Source organism: Homo sapiens, chromosome 1 (assembly GCF_000001405.40).
Source record: "Homo sapiens chromosome 1, GRCh38.p14 Primary Assembly".
NCBI lineage: Eukaryota > Metazoa > Chordata > Mammalia > Primates > Hominidae > Homo > Homo sapiens.
Genome location: NC_000001.11, coordinates 92,556,217 through 92,574,159, shown reverse-complemented (window position 1 = coordinate 92,574,159; position 17,943 = coordinate 92,556,217). Strand labels below are relative to the sequence as shown.

At 37.1% G+C, this 17,943-nt stretch overlaps 1 protein-coding gene across 27 annotated transcripts in view; it reads left to right on the top strand.

The window, feature by feature from the left end:
* The window catches only part of EVI5 (ecotropic viral integration site 5), a 283,715-nt gene that overhangs the window by 218,251 nt on the left and 47,521 nt on the right, over positions 1-17,943 (top strand). For all 27 annotated transcript variants that reach the window (NM_005665.6, NM_001308248.2, NM_001377212.1 and 24 more), the window contains one exon: positions 10,423-10,518. In NM_005665.6, coding sequence (NP_005656.4) covers positions 10,423-10,518 — 96 coding nt within the window. The remainder of the gene's footprint in view (positions 1-10,422; positions 10,519-17,943) is intronic.

Genomic DNA, 17,943 nt, shown 5'->3' with positions numbered 1-17,943 from the left:
AGTGAATGTGTGTGCGTAGGTCGTTATCAAACAATCCAGGTAATCAAACACCAGAATTACTGCTCTTGGTACAATATTCTTCTACATACTCTTATGTGTTATATTAGAAAACACAGCTTTTTACTATTACCTATATAATATATAGGTTAGAAAATAAGATTCATTGTTTCCATATTTATTGCCATGGTCTCTTTACAGATACAACACTTTTGAGTGCTAAAAGAATTATTTTGCTGGTCCCCAAATGTTTGGGTTTTCTTTGTTCCTTAGAATGATTATCTTAGTTTTCAGTGATGGAAGTCATATATGTGGAATTTTCTCAGATCCTAAATATTTTATTTAGTTCATCATCATATGTTACTAAACTTTAAAATAATATTTTCTGCTTGAGAGCTGGGTTAACCAAGAAGGGGATTTGAGTTCAAAATTGAACCAACCTCTGTAGACAGGGAACTGACCAGCTGAAAACTAACATGGAAATAATGTGAAGTGAAACTGATAGCAGAATTGAAAGAAATTAATTTAAGGACCCTTGACAGTTTTCCTCTATTTTTGTTTTTAGATATATTCACTCTGGAAATGTGGAGACCATTTGTAAATAAGTGTGTGAGCCTTGGTCATGGCCACATTTACCATGGTGGGGGTAGTTAAAGGAAATATTTATCTCTTTGTTATATGTAAACCTATACTAAAAATCTGTAATGAGATTAAACTTATAAAATAATATTTGAGATCCTCAGGAAATAGGATAAAAGCATTTATTATTAGCATATACATAGAATTTTGAATTTATGTTTTAAAAAATAGTTAATTTTCAAAGGTTATTCAAACCAGTACACTTCAAATGTAGGTCACTGGCTGTGTCAGAATCACTCTTTGTGTAGCTTTCAAAATACACTTATTTTCAAGTCCTGTTCCTAGATATTTAGAATTAGGAGGTCGGGGTGAGTTTCCTTAATCTGTATGTTTGTAAAACTCCTAAAGTGATACTTCTCTAATTATCTTTGGGGATCACTGTTTTAAATATTTTCTAGGGTATGTTGTTCATATTACTATATTCATTTCCTTAGCCATTTAAAAAATATTTATTAGGTAGTATGTTTTTGTTGCAGATAATAGAATATCCAGTTCAAACTGGCTTAAGTAATAAAGGGGATTTATTGGCTTATATAGCTAAAAAGTCTAGAAGTAGAATATGCTTCAGAAAAAGTTTGATTTGGGCTCCAACTTGCAACTAATCATGATTCTGAAGGCTCTGCTGTTTTTGTCATTTCTATCCTCAGGAGGTTTTCCTCATTATATTAAAATGGCTAACAGATGAGCTTTATATTCATATATCATAGTGTCCAGAATAAGAAGCTGTACTCTATAATTACCAGCAAAAGTTGTGAGTCACACTATTTGAACACCCCCGAACCCATCACTGTACAAAACAGATATGGTTATCCTGTTTGGTTTAGACTTGACCAGTCAGATCCTACCCATGGAGTTAGGGTGGTATCATTCCAATCCTATCACCACTACATAATGGGGGAGAGCATATAGATCTTGAAGTAATAATCACAAAACCTACTGTAAAATATTAAAGGGATAAACTAACGGAGCCTACTCTAAAGTAATCTTTGGGGGACTTATATCTTTTCATATATGTAAATGAAGTGCAGTGTAGACCAGTGTTTACTTTTTAGCAGATGATAGGAGGAAAGAGGGGATGAATTGTTTTTCATCAATAACTTTTCCTCCCAGTATTTTACTGTGAAAAATTTCAAACATAGAATTTGAAAGAATTGTACAGTGAACACCTATAAACCCACTATCTCCACTCTATTAATATTTTGGTATATTTTCTTTTTCTGTTGCTTTATCAGCTGTTCATCTTCCATTGTAGGGATCTTATTTTTTAATGCACTTCAAAGTTACTTTGTTATACTTTACCCCTAAACACTTAAATATGCATATCATTAATTGAGTTATTGATGACCATTTGATTAAGAACCTCATACATACAAAGCTCTCTTGGCTTAAGGCCTTAATATGAATCAGATTTGTATGGACGTTGTAATGGTAATTTCTGAAAGAATTATTCAAAGATAGAACCAAGAGTGAAATATGCATTTACACCTTTTACACATGTTATGTTATGCCCTCTTTATAAAGTTTCATTTGTGGTATATGACAAAACGTATGTATTTAAGGTCTCTTCAGTGAAAGTACGGAATACCAAAGTTGTTGATATGTTGGGCGTCTTTTTCTTTAAGTTTGTTACTTACCTAATTAGTTTTACTTAGGAAACCAGTTAACTGGCAATCTGTTGTTATCAGCTAGACCAAAAGAAAACCTCAAGAAAATGCAGGTTTCTGGTAAATTTATTAGTGTAGTTGACATTTTCCCACCTGCTTATCAGAAACAACCATGTGGACACTGTTTGAAAATAGAAAGTTATAAAAATACTTAGGAAAAAATTGTAAACATTAGATAATTGAATGAACTGTCCCAGAACTAAAATTAAATTGATACCCACTTAGAATATAGTAATTCATTGCTATGTCTTTTGGTATTGTAAATATAGTTACCCTGTTTTAACTTTTAAAGAGGATCCTAAAAGGCTTTGAATTAACAAGTTTAAATGAGAGCATAAAATGTAGAACATAAAAATCACAGACTTTTGATAAATGGTTATTGATACATTTTAATTTATTAAATAGCATTTAGGACATCTCACTTTTTACTTCTGTTTTTGGAATGTCAGCTATATTTCCTTAAGGCAGACTGTTGAATCAGAATATCCCATTCAGAGCTTTCTAACTGGTCCGTCACACTGGTGTGCCACTAATGTGTGACAAATAAGCTGAGATAGTAATTTTCTTGCCCAGGGGTTACTGCCATAGCCTGGAGCTGCTTAATCACCCTTTCTCTTTCCTCAGTTTATCTAGTGTGCCTTAGAAGTTGTTTTCTGAGTGTGTGTGCATGTGTTTATGTATGTGTGCCTCACCACAGAAGCAATGACTTAATGGTCATTATAGTCCAACTTTTTGTTTGTAAAAGTTTTGCGGAAGAAACCCAACATTAAGCTTTATTAAATTTTATTTAAATCTAAATAAGACAACTATATAATTGGATTTAATAAAAAATATAGTTTTCCTTTTTGAAATTCTTTTTTCCACAGTGAATAGAAGTTCAAGAAACACTTTTAAAGTTAAAAATATTCCATCTGTTTTATCATAAAGTTTCTTAGCTTCCCTGTTTTATCCATCTTTATTGTTGTAAAATTTCTTAGCTTCACTGTTTTTCATCAAATGCTATCTTTCCTCCAAAGAAATCAAAGTGCTATTACAAAGTTTTTAGCTAGACCCTACTAAGACCCACCTTTGGAAAAAACATCTTTGGAGTCACTTGGTAGCTTTTGTATAACAACTTTAATGATTTTTGTTTTACCAGAATTTTTTTTCATTGCAAGTTTCTCTGGAGGAAAGAATTGGTGTTAATTATTGTTACTAGTCATTCTACAGCCTTTCAAACCTAAAGTCTTTCTGCATTCTTGAACTTCTCTCTTACAATGTTAGAGGTTACCTTGGCCTTTGTCATCTTATTTGCCCTGAAAATATTATATTATCCCACATATTATTGCTATGAGATGTCCAAAATCCTCAAGAACTTTACCTTTATTAAGGACGAGATTCAAAGATACTTTTCTCCAAGTTGGATTCCATATTGCAAACATCTAACCTTTCTATCTCATCCAGACGGGTTTCTTCCTAGTAGTGGATTTCACTTTTCATCTAACCAACCAAGGGAGTGAGTATGACCTCATACCAAAATTAGGCCCCCCCTGCCCTCGCTCCCGCCAAAAAAAAAAAAAAACACCTAAAAGGACAGCTGAGCATATGTATCCAAATGGGTGATTCTTATCAAATTAGTCCCCCTTGGAAGTATATCAGTTTACTGACATGCTTACTCAGACACTTCTTATGTCACATATGGGATTTGGAGAATACCTCCTATGAGAATAATGATTTTGTTTCTTTTATATGAATGAGCATTCTTCCTCGTGTTTTTTTTCCCCTTATTTCTACATTCTTCCTGTTTCACTCACTCTCTTATTCTCTGTTTGATGTCATCCTTTTCCACTTTGAGGGTATACAGACAGAACTGACAATGGAGTAAGTCCAGAGCCAAGGAAAATCTTAGGGTGAGATAGTTATGAAACAGACTGAATTTTAATGGTGAGTTTATCTTTCTTATATTACTCTTTTGTTCTTATTCTGTGCCTTTGAAATATTTCTTTTTTTTTTTTTTTTTTTTTTTTTGAGATGGAGTCTCCCTCCATCGCCAGGCTGGAGTGCAGTGGCGCAATCTCGGCTCACTGCAACCTCCACCTCCCGGGTTCAAGCGATTCTCCTGCGTCAACCTCCTGAGTAGCTGGGATTACAGGCGCCTGCCACCATGCCTGGCTAGTTTTTGTATTTTTAGTAGAGACAGCGTTTCACCATGTTGGCCAGGATGGTCTCGATCTCTTGACCTCGTGATCCGCCTGCCTCGGCCTCCCAAAGTGCTGGGATTTCAGGCATGAGCCACCGCGCCTGGCCCAAAATATTTCATTTTAAAAATGGGTGATTAAAAACAAGAGGCAGACATAAGCGCATGTAAATGGTATTGGACAGCTTGTGTGTTTAATATGAGTCATTAGCTTAGTGCCGTTAATGCAAGTAGCTGTAGCATTTCATCTTCAATTCTTTATATATTGTAGTTCCCATTTAAATTATCAGAGGCTAAAATAAATATTAAAGTAAATACATAGACTTTTGTAACAAATCCAAGAAAGAAAATTTGCTTGATTCTTTGCATAAATCTCTATCTGCTTAATTGTTTCTCATGTTCAGAATGCTATAAATTAAGGTGAAAAATGTATTGACCATCTGTATGACTCTTAGGCAACCAGTTCACTCAATCTTTCATTTACGTTTCCTCATCTATGAAGTAGGAATAATAATATTACCTGTCACACAGGATCATTGTGATGATTACACATAAGCAGCTTAGAAAACTCCTGGCACATTATAAGTGCCAGTATTTCTCCACCAGAGCTCCACAAGAGAATTAAACTCTACAGAAAATGGTTTGAGTAAACTACATTGACTCCTGAACAACACAGGGATTAAGGGTGCTGATCCCTGCACAGTGGAAAATCTATGTATAACTTTTGACTCCCCCAAAACTTAACTACTAAGAGCTTACTTTTGACTAGAAGCCTTATTGATAACATAAACAGTTGATGAACACATTTCGTATGTTACATGCATCATAGACTGTATTCTTAAAATAAGCTAGAAAAAAGAAAATGTTATTAAGAAAATCATAAGGAAGAGAAAATATATTATTCATTAAATGGAAGTGGATCATGGCGACAGTCTTCATTCTTATCTTCACATTGATTAGGCTGAGGAGGAGGAGGAAGAGAAGGGGTTGTCTTGCTGTCTCAGGGTGGCAGAGGCAGACGAAAGTCCACATATTTGTGGACCTGCACAGTTCAAAGCCATGTTATGGGTCAACTGTATTTTCTCAGTTCTTCCAAGGATGGTACCTGGTAGTACTCTAGATGCACAGGCATGAAATCATACACATACAATGATGCTTTAGACGTTAGGGCTTAATCCTTTGGGAATCTCAAATGAGAAGGGCTCATAAGTGTTGTACCTGTTCAATATATAATAGCTATTATTATTTTGGTTGCAAGTGGCAAAAATCTGTATTTTTTTCTTTTTCTTTTTTCCTTTTTTTTTTTTTTTAAGATAGGTTTTTGCTGTCTCCCAGGCTGGAGTGTAGCGACATGAACACAACTCACTGCAGCTTCAACCTCACAGACTCAAGCAATCCGCCCGCCTTACCCTCCCTGGTAGCTGGGACCACAGGTGCCCATCACCATGCCCAGCTAATTTTTTTTAATGTTTTTGTAGAGACAGGGTCTTGCCATGTTGCCCAGGCTGGTTTTGAACTCGTGGGCTCAAGCAGTCTTCCACCTTGGCCTCTGAAAGTGCTAGGAATACAGTCATAAGCCACCACGCCCAGCCAGAAATTTATTTTTAAACTGGTTTAAATAATAAAGAGACTTTATTGTTCCATGTAAATGAGAAAACAGGGAAGGCCTCAGAGATTATTTGATTAGGACTCTGACTTAGTATCTCTGTTAGTTATTCTGTTAGTTCAGCCTTTTCTCTGGCAGTTGGGTCAAACTAATATTTCTAACCAAATTTTCAAAAGAATAATATATATTTTTCCTAAATATGGGCTTGTGGCTAAAAAGCATAAGGTGTATTTTGTATATATTTTAGAAGCCTAGCATATTTGGAATATAGTAATTGTTAAATAAGACAGTTTTGGCTTAGATAACTGTATCTGATATTAGTATGTGTAAATATGCAGTTATGCATTGCTTAACTAGAATATGTTCTGAGAAATTCATACTTAGGCAATGTCATCAGTGTGTGAATCATAGAGTGTGCTTACACAAACCCAGATGGTATAGCCTACTACTCACCTAGGCTATATGGTATAGCCTATTTCTCCTAGGCTACAAACCTATACAACATGTTACTCTACTGAATACTGTAGGCGGTTGTAACACAATGGTCAGAAGTTGTGTATCTAAACATAGAAGAGGTACAGTAAAAATATGATATAAAAGATTTAAAATGGTACACCTGTATAGAGCATGGTACCATGAATGGAGCTTGCAGGACTGAAAGTTGCTTTGGGTGAGTCAGTGAGTGAATGGCCTACATTACTGCACACTACTGTAGACTTTATAAACACAGTACAGTTAATCTATACTGTAAATTTATTTTCTTTTTCTTCAATAATAAATTAACCTTAGCTTAGTGTAACTTTTTCACTTTATAAACTTAATTTTTTTTAACTTTTTGACTCTTATAATAACACTTAGTTTAAATATATTGTATGGCTGTACAAAAATATCTTCTTTCTCTGTGTCTTTATTCTATAAGCTGTTTTTTTAACTCTTTAAACTTTTTTATTAAAAACTTAGGCACATGGCCGAGCGTGGTGGCTCACGCCTGTAAATCCCAGCACTTTGGGAGGCCAAGGCGGGTGGGCGGAACACTTGAGGCCAGGAGTTCAAGACCAGACTGGCCAATGTGGTGAAACCCCGTCTCTAATAAAAATATAAAAATTAGCTAGGCATGGTGGTGTGCGTCTGTAGTCCCAGCTACTCAGAAGGCTGAGGCACGAGAATCGCTTGAACTTGGGAGGTGGAGGTTGCAGTGAGCCGAGATTGTGCCATTGCACCCCAGCCTGGACAGAGGGGCACTCTGCCTCAAAAAAAAAAAAAAAAAAAAAAAAGCAGGCACACACATTATTCTCTGCTTACATAGGGTCAAGATCATCAGGATCACTGTCTTCTACCTCTACATCTTGTCCCACTGGAAGATCTTCAGGGGCAATAGTATTACACATGGAGCTGTCATCTCCTATGAGAACAATGCTTTCTTCTGGAATATCTCTTGTAGGACCAGGCTGAAGCTTACAGTTAATTTTTCTTGTATAAATAAAAAGAATACACTAAAATAATAAAAAATATAGTATGTTAAATACATAAATCTGTAACATAGTCATTTATTATTGTCAATTATTATCCACTGTGCATAATTGTATATGCCATACATTTATACAACTGGCAGCACAGTAGATTTCTTTACACCAGCACCACCACAAACACGAGTAATGTGTTTTACTATGACATTGTACAACTACAATGTCACTAGGCATTACGAATTTCTTATTATAATCTTATGGGACCATCATCATGTATTCATTCCGTCATTGACCAAAACATCATTATGTGGAACATGACTGCATAAGAAAAAATTTTTAAGTCTATAGAAGCTGTAGTTGGGCTTTTATATCTATGCAAATATTAATTACACTAAACCACTTCAGCAGGCCATATTCTAGTAAAAGGTTTTTAAGACAGATTGTCAAAAGAAAGAGAACAAAGCAAAACAAACAAAAAACAGGGAGTTTTTAGGAATAAGTCGATGAAAGGAGTTGAAGAACAAACTAAGGGTAGTTAGAGATACAATTTGGGTAGGGAGGACAGTTAACACAGAACAGCAGTGTTGTTGGAAAGATGCTTGACCCTATAGGAGTGCTACCCACTCTGTCGCTAGAACATTTCTTTTTTTTTTTTTTTTTTTTGCTCGGGCTGGAATGCAGTGGCGCAATCTCAGCTCACTGCAACCTGCGCCTCCCAGGTTCAAGCGATTCTCCTGCCTCAGCCTCCTGAGTAGCTGGGATTACAGGCACACACTACCACACCCGGCTAATCGTTTGTATTTTTAGTAGAGACAGGGTTTCACCATGTTGGCCAGGCTGGTCTTGAATTCCTGACCTCAGGTGATCCACCTGCCTCGGCCTCCTGAAGTGCTGGGATTACAGGCATGAGCCACCGCGCCTGGCCTGTTGCTAGAACAGTTCTATTTGGTACTTCCTGCCAATGATGTTAGTATACAGTATGTAGGATGAAGTTGGAGGGTAGAGTTGACCAGTCAGAGGACTAAGTCAGAGGATGTTCAAGGTCCCTTCTGACTGTGATTTTAAATATGGGAGGAATCTCCACATTGACAAATGCTTTTCACAGCAACCCATTTCTCTCAAGGTAATTGTAAGACACGTTTTAAACCTGCTTTTAAAAAAACCTGTAAATACTTGGATATTACTAAGGTAACTTTTACAGGAATTTCAAAGCTCTCTAAAGTTAGAATGTGTATCTTTCTGCTCCATATGTACTGATATTGAATGATCTTCAAGTTGTATTATTGAGAGATAATAGCAAAGTACAGAGTAGCATACATAGTGTCTGTAGTATGGATAAACGTGTGCATGTATTCATGTGTGTTTGATTATATATGTGTAAAATATCGTGGAAAGACTACACCAAAAAACTGTTAACAATTGTTGTCTCCATGAAAGGAAACTGGGTGATTGGCAACTGTTAAAAGTAAGCCCATACTCTTTTGGTATCAGGAGTTACTCAGTAGTTTCAGTAGATGGCTCCGGATCAGAGCTGCTTAACATTTTAAGCATCAACACATGGCTTCCTAATTATAAATAATCTGGAGACATCAAAAACAATTCTAGTTTCACTGTTTAATAAGTTCTTTATCTAGGCCAGGCATGGTGGCTCACGCTGTAATCTCAGCACTTTGGGAGGCCAAGGTGGGCGGATCACCTGAGGTCAGGGGTTCGAAACCAGCCTGGCCAACATGGCAAAACCCTGTCTCTACTAAAAATACAAAAATTAGCCAGGCGCAGTGCTGGGCACCTGTAATCCCAGCTACTCAGGAGGCTGAGGCAGGAGAATTGCTTGAACCCAGGTGGCAGAGGTTGCAATGAGCCGAAATCGCGCCATTGCACTCCAGCCTGGGTGACAGCGAGAGTCCATCTCAAAAAAAAAAAAAAAAATCTTTATCTGAAAAATAATTTATGTTCGTTTTCAGGTGGTATAAGAAAAAGTGCCTCTCTTCACCAATCTATATCCCTAGAAAATAGTCCCAGTGCTCACCTGAAACAAACTCTTAGGATCAGAAGCAGCTTTTAATCAGCTGTATCTGGGACTTCCAGTCCACATCGAGAGCTAATTAACCAGAGGAGACTCAAAGTTGTCCTCCCCTTTTTAGAGTGATTTGGACAACTTTTTCTTTTTTTTCCCCCCTTTTCTGTTCCCCAAGCAAAAGCAGATTCCCAAGAATGAAAGAATATGGGAAGCTTGCCATCTTCTTGACTAAGTATTGAATCCCTTACGGTATGAATAGAAAATCATCTGCCCTCAAAATAACTAGATAAATTACTTTGAAATTCTAGGGTAATTTTTTCATCAGTAGATCCATTCAATTACTGATTTCTGAGACTCTTTCAAAAGATATATTTTATAAATTATATTTATTATAAACAACCTTTATTAAGCATTTTTAAAGAAATAATCACACCTGAGGTCAGAAGTTTGAGACCAGCCTGACCAGCATGGAGAAACCCTGTGTCTACTAAAAATACAAAATTAGCCAGGCGTGGTGGCACATGCCTGTTAATCCCAGCTACTCTAGAGGCTGAGGCAAGAGAATTGCTTGAACCCGGGAGGCAGAGGTTGCGGTGAGCCGAGATGGCACCGTTGCACTCCATCCAGCCTGGGCAACAAGAACGAAACTCTGTTTCTAAATAAATAAATTAATTAATTAATTAAAGCATAGTTCATTATGAATTGTTTGTCAGAGGTAGTTTGAGAATGGATTTGTTCAGAATTCAGGTGATTAAAGGGTATGTGCCTATGCTTTTCCTATACCTTGAACTATTTGAGTACATGCTGTGAAAAATTGCCTCTTGTTTTTGCTTTGTTGTTTTGTCACAAAACAGAAAGAAGAAGGAAAGCTTCAAGGACAGCTTAACAAGTCTGATTCTAACCAGTATATTGGGGAACTGAAAGATCAGATAGCAGAGCTGAATCATGAGGTAAGTGATAAATTTTGATCTTCACATATTGCTTTCTTCCTTCCTCTGTATTGTAACAACACTTTATTACTGGTTATAAGACTGACACTTTCATGCTGAATATCTTCTGTGAATTATTGGTTATAATTAATAACATTTTTGAAAATTGTCTTTTTAGCAAGGATCTTCTGTTCTAATATTGGGGATTTATTTCCCTTAACCTCATTAGCATGACCTAGAATGATAAATTAATATTTTCATGGCAAATATTTTATTTTTTTATTGTGGTGTAAAAACTCTTGATAGTTTGCATAGATGTCAAAGTTACTTTAACTAAACTAAAATTTTGCTTATACCTATAGAATAGATTTGTGGTATTTACCGTTGCATGCAGAAGGAAGTCTTTTTACTCTTGTCTTCTTTTACCGCTCATGATGGTATTACTGAGATTGCAAAAAAGGATACTTGCCTAATATCAGTTAACAGATTTCTTAGTATCTGAATGCTTTTTAAACTGGTACTACCTTGAATCTGTGAGATTCAACTCACAAAATTTTCAGTTTTACCAAGTACTATACTGAGTAATTTAAAGTATTTAGTATGTTTTGATTAGAGAGATATGTTAATGTGGCTCGAGGTCAATTTTCTTATCCTTTATTATTTTCTGTTTTAATGATAATATTTGGCTAAACACTAATGGAATACCATCTTTCTTGTTTTGAATTATTTATAAAATAATGTTTATTCACAGTGATGAGATTTGAGAGGGTAGTATAACCTTTATTTGTTTAAAAAGAAGAAGAAAGAGAAATTTTGACCACTAGATGAATTTAAACCTCACAGGAAAAAGTTTAGACGTTACCCTTTCCTGGTATTACACCCTTCAGTTAAAGTCTGTATGTTTTGGGTAATACCTCCTGGAGGTAGTCAGTCTAAGAGTTAATTCTAAATGAAGAAGAAACAAAACATAAACAAAAACAGTAAATCTTAGATGTGGCTCAGTTTAATTTGTTTTGAAATTTGGGGAATCATTCCTGTAAATATCAATTTTCAGCCATGATAACATATGAGGGATTCAGGATCTTACATATAATCTTTACCTATTTGTGTGTATTTATTATAATTTTTTTTTTTAGACGGAGTCTCGCTCTGTCGGCCAGGCTGGAGTGCAGTGGTGCAATCTCTGCTCACTGCAAGCTCCGCCTCCCAGGTTCATGCCATTCTTCTGCCTCAGCCTTCTGAGTAGCTGGGACTACAGGCGCCCGCCACCAGGCTGGCTAATTTTTTGTATTTTTTTAGTAGAGACGGGGTTTCACTGTGTTAGCCAGGATGGTCCTGATCTCCTGACCTCATGATCCGCCCGTCTCAGCCTCCCAAAGTGCTGGGATTACAGGCATGAGCCACTGCACCTGGCCTATTATAATATTTTTAAATCGATAGCCATAGTGTGAAAGAACAAGTTACAATTAAGTGTGTTGTAGAAATCTTTATTCTTTTGAGAACCCCAGGAATTATTTATGTTCAAAAGGTGTTCTCAGAGGAAATTGTGATTAAAATAAAGCAACCTCCCATTTAAAATTTTGATGTCTCATTATAAGGAAGCTTTAATGTTGCTGAAACAAGAAAGTTACGTATAGATTGACTTTATTTCTAAAACTAATGTAAAAGTCAGTCAACAAACATTAACTTTCCCTGTCATATGCTTTGACTAAAAATAATGATATTCTGACCAGGTGTGGGCGCACGCCTATAATCCCAGCACTTTGGGAGGCTGAAGCAGGCAGATCACTTGAGGTCAGGAGTTTGAGACCAGCCCATCCAACATGGTGAAACCCCTATCTCTACTAAAAATACAAAAATTAGCCAGGCATGGTGGTGTGTGCCTGTAACCTAGCTACTGGGGAGGCTGGGGCAGGAGAATCGCTTGAACCTGTGAGGCGGAGGTTGCAGTGAGCTGAGATCATGCCACTGCACTCCAGGCAGCAGAGTGAGACTCTGATAGATAGATAGATAGATAGATAGATAGATAGATAGATAGATAGATAGATAGATAGGATAGATTAGATAGATAGATAGATAGATAGATAGATAGATAGATAGATAGATAGTCAGTCTCATCAGGACTGCCAGAAAATAACTCACATGAAGTTTAACTTTAATGTCAGTTTTTTACGTGTGGCCTAAGAAAGCAGTCTTACCTTATACAAACATGAAAAGAAAATTAATCAACAGAGTAGAATTTTCTACTGTTAAAATTAAAAGCTAGATTGTGCAGATTTAAAGAGTGGAAACCAAACTGCATCTTTTTGAAAAGAAAGGAAAAAAAACCTTTAAAGCATTTTTATTTATTAATACCCTTCCTTGTTGCAGATAGAATTAAGGAAATTTGCAACTGCTACAAAATAATAAACTACAATTTTGGGAGAAAAAGGAAAGAAAAAAACTGTAGAAATATAATATGGAAGCATGAATAAGACCATTATAAAAATGCTTACCATAAAAATATCTCTTTCCTGTAAGTGGGCCTCAGATTTGGCTCTAAGGCTTTTAGCAGCCAACGCAAAAGAAAACCTGGTCACTTAAACATTTCAGAGTGTCTATGTGATGAAAACAGACCAATTAGCTAGAAGAGCCACATCTATTCCTGATACTAAGATTAAATAACAAGTTCTCCACTGCTTCCTCACAAAGGAGACCTAGTGAGTTCCCTGGTTATTATCCTTAACATTTGAATGGCTTCATAATCATGAAAGTTAGATAAAGAACAGAAGCTTTAAAAAAAAAAAAAAGCTTTTGTAGGCTGGGTGCAATGGCTCATGCCTGTAATCCCAGCACTTTGGGAGACCGAGGTTGGAGGGTCACTTTAGCCCAGGAGTTCGAGACCAGCCCGAGCAATATAGGGAGACCCCATCTCTATTAAAAATAATAATAATAAATGCCAGGCCTGGTGGCATGCACCTGTGGCCCCAGCCACTCCAGTGGCCGAGGCAGGAGGATCACTTGAACCCAGGAGGTCAAGGCTGCAGTGAACCGTGATCACTGAAACGTGATCACCACTGCACTCCAGCCTGGGTGTCAAAGCAAGACCCTGTCTCAAAAAAAAAAGAAAAAAAAGTTTTGTATAGCAGCATAGCATACAGAGACGTGTCCAAGTCAAAAGTTTACAGCTCAATAAATTATCACAAAATGATCACACTCATGTAGGTACTACCTAGGTCCAAGAAATAGACCCAAGAGCCCTGTTCATACTCTTTCAACCCGTACTCTCTCCCTTCTACTCAAAGGTAACCATGATCTCAGACTTCTAATACAGTAGTTTAACTTTTTGAACTTTATATAAATGGATTCTTGCAGTATGTTTTCTTTTGTGTCTTGCTTGTTTTGCTCAACATTGTTTGTGAGATTTTACTTTGTCATTTTAAAATGTAGCTGTAGGTTGTTCATTTTCATCACTGTGTAATTTTCCTTTGCATAAATATACCATGATTTATTCATCTACTGTGTTGGTGAACATTTGGATTATTTCCAGTTGGTCTGTTAAGAACATTGCTTTAAGTGATTTATGCCAGTTTATACTGTCTATAAGCAGTGAAGAAAGTTCTTACTGTTCTACATCCTCATCAACATGTGGAATTGTCAGTCTTTCTTATTTTAGCCATTCTGTGACTATGAAGAGATTTCTCATTATGGTTTTAATGTGCATTTCCCTGATTATTAATGAGATTGAGTACTTTTCCCCCAGTATATAGAACAATGATGGCATGTAGTAGGTACTATGTGAAAATGTTTCTAATGAAAAAATGATGTTTGTGAAAGGTTTTGCAGATGAGGTCACATATAAGTTGCATGGGAATGCCAAGAAGCTTTTTTTTTTTTTTTTTTTTTTTTTGAGAGGGAGTCTTGCTCTGTCTCCCAGGCTGGAGTGCACTGGCGCGATCTTGGCTCACTGCAACCTCTGCCTCCCGGGTTCAAGCAATTCTCCTGCCTCAGCCTCCCGAGTAGCTAGGGTTACAGGCACACACCACCATGCCTGGCTAATTTTTGCATTTTTTTAGTAGAGACGGAGTTTCACCATGTTGACCAGGCTGGTCTCGAACTCCTAACCTTGTGATCCGCCTGCCTCAGCCTCCCAAAGTGCTGGGATTACAGGCATGAGCCACCATGCCCAGCCAGAATCCTCTTAATGTGTGAAAATCAGTGGAAAGAGTATTCCAGACAGAAGAAACAACTAGCCCAAAGACCCTAGAAGAAAATGAAATGGTTATTTTGAGAAACAATGCTAGTGTGGCTGGAGTATAGTGAAGGGTAGGAAAAATGGTATAAGATAAAATTAGAGAGGCAAGTGAGGTCAGATTGCAATTGGTCCTCTGTATCCGTGGATTTTGCATCAGTGGATTCAACCAATCGTGGATCAAAAATATTTTTTAAAGACTATTGCATCTGTATCTGTACTGAACATCTACAAATTTTATTCCTTATCATTATTCCCTAAACAATACAGTATAACAGTTTATATTGCATTAACATTGTATTAGGTATTATAAGTTATCTAGAGATGATTTGAAGTATACAGGAAGTCAGGCATAGGTTATATGCAAATATGCCATTTGATATAAGGGACTTGTGCATCCATGGGTTTTAGTATCCTTGGGACATCCTGGACCCATTCTCCCACAGATACTGAGGGACAACTGTATAGTGCTTTGTAAACCACGGTGTATAGTGGAAAGCCTTTGGATGTTTGTTGTTGTTGTTAGGGGTTTTTTTGGTTGGTGTTGTTTGGGTTTTTTTGTTTTGTTTTGTTTTGCCCTTTTTTTTTTTTTTTAGAGATGGGGGTCTCACTATGTTGCTCAGGCTGGCCTCTGACTCCTGGGCTCAAGTGATCCTTCCACCTTAACTTCCTGAGTAGCTGGGACTACAGGGCTGCACCACCATGCCTGCCTTCTTTGGATGGTTTCATACAGAAAATTTTATAATTTCATTTGCTCTGCCTGCTGTACAGTGAACTGATTGTAGAAGAGAAAGAGTGAGAACAGGGAAATTCATCAGGAGTCTGTTACAATGGTCCAGATAAGATCAAACATGGCTTAGAAGGATGGAAGAAGTGGAAATGTAATGCGGCTGTGTTAGAAGTATGTTTATCTCATAACAAAAAACATTCATTGGCTCCAGAGAGTTTTGGCTTGAGTAATTGAGTGAATGATTGGTTGGTGCCATTGACCAGCATAGAGAAAGGTAAACAAGAGCTCTATTTTTATGCTAAGATTTGTAGTAAGGTTGAGATTCCTTACTGCAAATGAAGATATCAGATAGGCAGTGGATATGAGTCTGAAATTCTGAAGAGAGGTCAGGGCTAAAAATAATTGTAGCCATCACTGGCATGTGAATGGCGTTCATATATAAAGAGAAGGGTGTCCAGGAGCAAGTTCTGAAGTTCTCCCAACCTTTAGGGTCAAGAGAGCCAGGAGAGGACCAAAACCACCAGGGAGATAGGCGGGAAACTGGAGAGTATGAAGACACAGGAGTCCCAGAAGGAGGAAGGGATCATTTCAGCGTAGTTATTTAAATCAGATTTTAAACTTCCCTGATCCTTTTGAAGAATAAACTTATTAAGACAGATTTTTTGGCCAGGCACGGAGGCCCATGCCTATAATCCCAGCACTTTGGGAGGCTGAAGCAGGTGGATCACTTGAGGTCAGGAGTTTGAGACTAGCCTGGCCAACATGGAGAAACCCTGTCTCTACAAATAAATAAATAAATAAATACAAAAATTGGCTGGGCGTGGTGGTGCGCGCCTGTAGTCCCAGCTACTTGGGAAGCTGAGGTGGGAGGATTGCTTGAGCCTGGGAACCAGAGGTTGCAGTGAGCAGAGATCACACCACTGCACCCCAGCCTGGGCGACACAGTGAGATCCTGTCTCAAGAAAAAAAAAAAAAGTTTTCTTCGGAATTTTTTATGATTTGTCAGAGAACAATGGATGATTTAAGAAAGAACTTGAAAGGAGAAATGTTCTATCTCTAAATACTACTGACTGAAACACCCTTCCTGAAGAAATTAGAGAAACAGCCCTTCATGGTGGCTCATGCCTGTTATCCCAGCACTCTGAGAGGCTGCGGCAGGCAGATCATCTAAGGTCAGGAGTTTGAGACTAGCCTGGCCAACATGGCTAAACCCCGTCTCTACTAAAAATAAATAAATAAATAATACAAAAATTAGCAGGACATGGTGGTGCGTGCCTGTAACCCCAGCTACTCAGGAAGCTGAAGCACGAGAATGGCTTAAACCTGGGAGGCGGAGGTTGCAGTGAGCCAAGATCTCACCACTGCACTCCAGCCTGGGCCACAGAGACTCCGTCTCAAAAAAACAAAAAAAGAAAAAGAAAAAAGAGAAATGTAAGCTATTTCAAGATAAAGCTGGAAAAAAAAAAGAACTATTTTGGTATGCTATAAACAAAATAAAACTCAGGTAGATAAAACCAACTTACTTTGTAGGAATAATCATTGTATTGGTTTCTACTACCCAGAAGGTCTTCTGTCATCCTGTCTTTTTTGTTGGGAAGGCAATTTTTCTAAGTTAAATTATGTGTCACAGGAAGCTTTTTTTAAGTAGGTGATTAGGAATTTGAGTAAATAAAAAGAAATCTAAATAAAGCCTTTACTGAAGTTTGACTTAGAAAATGTTTATATAGACAGGAATGGTAGTGTGGGCCTTGTAGTTCTGGTTACTTGGGAGACTGAGGCAGGAGGCTTGCTCTGAACCCAGGAGTTTGAGGTTGCAGTGAGCTAAGATCATGCCACTGCACTCCAGCCTAGGTGACAGTGAGACCCTAACTCTAAAAAAAAAATAAAAGGGTAAGAAAAAAATTATGTGAATATTCCTTAAGTTTTTAAATTCTGATATCTGTTTATATAAACCTGAGCTATGGATTTAAATATATATCAAAAAGTATTTTTAATGTCCTAGATATTCTTAATGTAGTTTTTAATACATGTACTCATTTTGTTACTAAACTGGAATTTTTGAAATAAGGAACTTTAACAATCAGATGACAATACATTAAGTCCTCACTTAACATTGTCAGTAGGTTCTTGGAAACTGAGACTTCAGAGTGAAAGACATATAACATGTCCATGAATAATGTCGTTTTGTTTATGATGATGAGGGGAAAAGTTTGGTTTCTTTATATGTCATCTTACTTAAAATGACAGTTTCCAAGAACCTATGGAAAACTTTAAGTGAGAACTTACTATATGTCCTCTTATATTTCTTTGGATTTTTTTTTCCTTATGCTTGTATTTTTCTATTTAAAGCAGTGGCTCACGCCTGTAATCCCAACACTTTGGGAAGCCGAGGCGGGTGAATCACAAGGTCAGGAGTTTGAGCCCAGGCTGGCCAACATGGTGAAACCCCGTCTCTACTAAAAATACAAAAATTAGCCAGGCATGG